Source organism: Homo sapiens, chromosome 3 (assembly GCF_000001405.40).
Source record: "Homo sapiens chromosome 3, GRCh38.p14 Primary Assembly".
NCBI lineage: Eukaryota > Metazoa > Chordata > Mammalia > Primates > Hominidae > Homo > Homo sapiens.
This window is the reverse complement of record NC_000003.12, coordinates 142913519-142918806: the sequence shown is the minus strand read 5'-3', so window position 1 is coordinate 142918806 and position 5288 is coordinate 142913519. Positions and strand designations below refer to the sequence as shown.

The window sequence follows — 5288 nt, the reverse complement described above, 5'->3', positions numbered from 1 at the left end:
AACAATAACTAAATAAATGGAGAGATATTTCATGTTTATGAATAGAATGACTCAATATTGTCAAGATATCAGTTCTTCCCAATTTGATTTATAGATTTAATGCAATGACAATCAAAATTCTAGCAAAATATTCTGTGGATATCAACAAACTGATTCTAAAGGCAAAAGACACAAAATAGCCAACCCAGTATTAAAGGAAAAGAACAAAATTGGAGGACTGACTTTATTCAACTTTAAGACTTACTATAAAGCTACAGTAATCAAGAGAATGTGTGTTGGTGAAAGAACAGACAAATAGACCAGTGGAGTAGAATAGAGAGCCCACAAATCGACTCACATAAATATACTCAACTGATCTTTGACAAAGGAGCAAAGGCAATACAATAGAGAAAGATAGTCTTTTCAGGAAATGTTGCTGGAACAACTGGACATTGACATGCCAGAAAGTGAATTTAGACACAGAGCTTATACCCTTCATGAAAATAAACTCAAAATGGGTCACAGGCCTAAATGTAAAACACAAAGCTTTGAAACTCCTGGAATAAAATGTAAGAGAAAATTTGGATGACCTTGGGTTTAGCACTGACTTTTTAGATATGAAACAAAAGGCACCATCTATGAGAGAAACAATTGATAAGCTGGACTTCATTAAAATAAAATTTTCCTGCTCTCCAAAAGACAACGACAAGAGAATAAGACAAGTGACACACTGGAAGAAAATATTTCCAAAAGACGTCTCTGATAAAGGACTGTTATCCAAAATGTACAAAAAGCTCTTAAAACTCAACAATAAGAAAATTAAAAACCCAATTTAAAAAAATGAACCAAAGACCTTAACATATGCCTCACCAAAGAAGACATGTGGATGGCATGTTAGAATACAAAACGATACTCCACATCATATGTCATCAAGGAAATGAAAATCAAAACCATGAGACACCACCACTCACCTGTTAGAATAGCCAAAATCCAACCACTCACAACATCAAATGCTGGAAAGGATGTGAGGCAACATGAACTCTCACTCATTGCTGGTGGGAATATAATTGGAAGGCAATTTGTCAGTTTCTTACAAAACTAACCATACCCTTTGATCCAGCAATAACACTCCTTGGTTTTTACCCAAAGGAGTTGAAAACTTAGGTCCCCACGAAAACCTATACGTGAAGATTTATGGAAGCTTTATTCATAATAGGCAAAACTTGGAAGCTCCAAGAAGACCTTCAGTAAGTGAGTGGATAGGTAAACTGTGGTACTTCCAGATAACAAAACATTATTTAGTACCAAAAAGAAATGAGCAATCAAACCATGAAAATACACGAAGGAAACTTAAATGCATATTACTAAGTGATAAAAGCCAATCTGAAAAGGCTGCTCTGGCCGGGTGCGGTGGCTCACACCTGTAATCCCAGCACTTTGGAGGCTGAGGAGGGTGGATCACCTGAAGTCAGGAGTTTGAGACTAGCCTGGCCAACATGGCGAAACCCCATCTCTACTAAAACATACAAAAATTAGCTAGGCATGGTGGCAGGCGCCTGTAATCCCAGCTACTTGGGAGGCGAAGGCAGGAAAATCGCTTGAACCCAGGAGGCGGAGGTTGCGGTGACCCGAGATTGGGCCATTGCATTCCAGCCTGGGAGACAGAGCAAGATGCCATCTCAAAATAAATAAATAAATTAAATTAAATTAAATGTGTAAATAAACAGGACATATCAGTTGTAGAAGGGAAGACAAATGTCCCATACAGAGGGAGCAGAGGGGGTAGCATGTGCTTGGGCTGGGGACAGAGGAAGCTGTGTGGCACGTTCGAGGACCTGGAAGAGATTCAGGATGACTAGAGGGCAGAGTGCACATGGGTGAGAATCCAGATGTGAACTGGATAAGCATTCCAGGCAGAAGCCAGGGAATGAAAGGTCTTGTGAGCCCCTATGTTTGGCCTCCATCCTGAGGGAATAGGAAACCACTAAGCAATCTTAGGATAAAACTTCCTTGTCATTTCAGGGCTGGATCCTGTAAAGCCTGTAAGCCATCATGAGTCTGCAACTCACCCCTATGAGTAATGGGGACTACTGAAGGTTTTAAGTAAGGAGATGATATGATCATATTTGCATTTAAAAACAACAACAGTGGCTGGGTTACAGTGTAAAAATAGATGGAGAGGAAAAGGCAAGACTGCCTGTAAGGAAGACTACTTAGGGCTAGCAGAGAATATAAGACAACGACAATGAGGATGAAGAGAGGTAGATGATTTCAAGAAACAGGCACAGGCAATAAGCCTTGGTGGCTGGGAATGAAGGAGAGTAGAGGCTTGAATGACGTTTGATTTCTGGCTTAGACAATGGCTGGCAATTTATTAAGATAGAGACCACAGGATGGGGGCCCACAATGAGTTCAGTTGTACACACTGGGGTTCAGGTGCCTGGGGGACATCCAAGCAGAGGTGGAAATATGGCTCAGAAGCCCAGGAGAGAGGACAGGGCCGCAGATGAGGATCTGGGTGTCCTCAGCATGGAAGTAGTGATATAGAGCTGAAGAGGAACCACTAGATCCCTCAGGGAGAGATGAGGAAAAGGGAGGAGGAATGTGGTTAGATCCCCAAGGCATGTTGATAGTTAAGGATGGGCAGAGGAAGACAAGCCTGCCAAGGAATGAGAAAGAGCAGCCAGAGATGCTGGATGAAATAAGGAGAGAGGGTCAATGTGTCAACATGGTATGGACTGCAAAGTGGCAATAAGATCATCAATGGGCTTGATGAGCCAGATCCAAGTAGAATGATGGAATGGAAGCCAGGTTGCTGTGGATGTAGAAGCATCTGAATTTCAGAAAAAAACATTTAGGCAAGATTTTCAAGAAGTATAGCTGAAAGGAGAAGAGAAAGGTAGAAGCAGCTGCGGGGGCAGGCAGCAGGCAAAAGAGACATGAGCTCATTTGGATGCTACCAGTGGCTCCATAGCAACACGTATATAAAAACAAAGCAGACCAGGTGATGTGGTTTGGCTGTGTCCCCACCCAAATCTCATCTTGAATTGTAATCCCCATAATCCCTACGTGTTGTGGGAGGGACCTGGTGGGAGGTAATTGAATCATGGGGGTGGTTTCCCCCATGCTGGTCTTGTGATAGTGAGTGAGTTCTCATGAGATCTGATGGTTTGATAAGTGCCTGGCATTTCTCCTGCTGGCGCTCATTTTCTCTCAAGCCACCCTACGAAGAGGTGCCTTCCTCCAAGATTGTGAGTTTCTTGAGGCCTCCCCAACTATGTGTAACTGTAAGTTAATTAAACCTCTTTTCTTTATAAATTATCCAGTCTCGGGTATTTCTTCATAGCAGCGTGAGAATGGACTAATACACCAGGCATGGTGGCTCACACCTATAATATCAGCACTTTGGGAGGCCGAGGCAGGTGGATCATTTGAGCCCAGGAGTTTGAGACCAGCCTGGGCAACATGGCGAAACTGCATGTCTACAAAAAAATATGAAAAATTAGCCAGATGTAGTGGTGCCTGCCTGTAGTCCCAGCTAATCGGGAGGCTGAGGTGGAAGAATCACTTGAGACGAGGAGGTTGAGGCTGCAGTGAGCCATGATTCCACCACTGCCCTTCAGCCTGGGCAATAGAGTGAGACCTTGTCTCAAAAATAAAAATTAAAAACAAAACAAAAACACACAAAAAAACAAAAGCAAAGCCAACAAAACTCTCCAGTCTATTGCTATTCAAGGCCCTCCAAAGTTTAACTCTAACCAGCTTCATTTCTGCTATGGTCTGAATGTTTGTTGTTCCCCCAAAATTCCTATGTTGAAATCCTAATCTCCAAAATGGTGATATTAGGAGATAGGGTCTTTGGAAAGTAATTAGGTCATGAGGGTACAGCCCTCATGAATGGGATTAGTGCCCTTATAAAGGAAGTCCCTTTTGCCCCTTCTACCCGGTAAGGACACAGTGAGAAGACATCTGTGAACCAGTACGTAGGTCCTCACCAGACACTGAGCCTCCCAGCACTTTGTTGCTGAACTTCCCAGCCTCCAGAACTGGCAGAAATCAATTTCTGTTGTTTATAATCTATCCAGTCTGAAGTATTTTGTTACAGCAGTCCAAACGAACTAAGACAATTTCCTTCTATTCTCCACTCTCCTGGCCCCTTGCTTCAGCCAAACAGGTTAATCACTGTTCCCCACATAAACTACAGACTTCACTGTCTCCATTTCCGGGTTGATGCTGTTTCCTCCACCTGAAATGGCCATTGCTAAGCGCTGGTATAACCCTCCCACCTGCACTGACCTTCTCTGGCTTTAGGAACCTCACAACTCTCCATGCTGAGAATCTCTAGCACTCATTGTTTGTCCCACTCTAATGTCCCTCCTTATCTTCTGTATCTAAGTTATTTGGATCTTACTCACATGCCCTTATTTCACTTTTAGTTTCTTGGGGATGTGGGTTGTAGCTTACCTAACATTTTGTAAGCTCTTCTTATGCAGTAAGGGATCAATAAATGTGAATAAATAAGTGAATGAATAAAAGTGTCAATTTAAAAAGTCAATATTTAGGGTATAATAAAATCTATTTTTTAAAAAATTCAAATACCCAGAGATACAAGGGAGGGCTAAGGGCTGAGGGAGGAGGCAACGGGGGATTTCTATCCTTTGATATAGGTCAAAGGATAGAAAGTAGCAGATATGTAGGCTAAACAAGTCTGGGGATGTAATATGCAAGTGAGGACTATAGTTAATAATATTGTATTGTATTTAAAATTTTTGCTAAAAGAGCAAATGTAGGTGATCTTGCCACACACATAAAATATGGGTAGTTATGTGAGATGATGGATATGTTTATATTCTTGACTACAGTAACCATTTCATGATGTATATGTATAGCAAAACATCATGTTGTACACCTTAAACATATACAATAAAATTTCTAAAGTATCAATTATCATGGATCATGGGTGTGTTTCTTTATCATACACAGCTGATGCCTTAGCAAGAGGTAACCCTCACTCCAATCCTGTTCTGGGCCCCTGCATTCTTATTAAATAGTAACTCCCCCATGGAATGACACACACATACTGTGTGCCAAGTAGATAATTTGATTTACTCTTCAGTCCAATAAGGTGGCTACTTTCATTACCCCATTTTACAGATGAGGAAATTAAGGCTTGGAGAAGTTAAGTAATCTCCCCAAGGTCATGCAGCTAGTGAATGGTTGAACCAAGTCTCCAAACACAGGTATGTCGGCTATTGAAGAGTGTGATCTTATCCAGAACACCACACTGCCATGACTTTCATTGCTGACTG

General features: G+C 41.7%; 1 annotated feature.

Annotated features, from left to right (window-relative positions):
* Window positions 1539-1717: a silencer, noted in NCBI's record as "fragment chr3:142635932-142636110 (GRCh37/hg19 assembly coordinates)". NCBI's record gives its function as "represses an EF-1alpha promoter that drives an FKBP-Casp9 reporter gene in an ReSE screen in K562 erythroleukemia cells {active_cell/tissue: K562}" and the evidence as "EXISTENCE:reporter gene assay evidence [ECO:0000049][PMID:32094911]".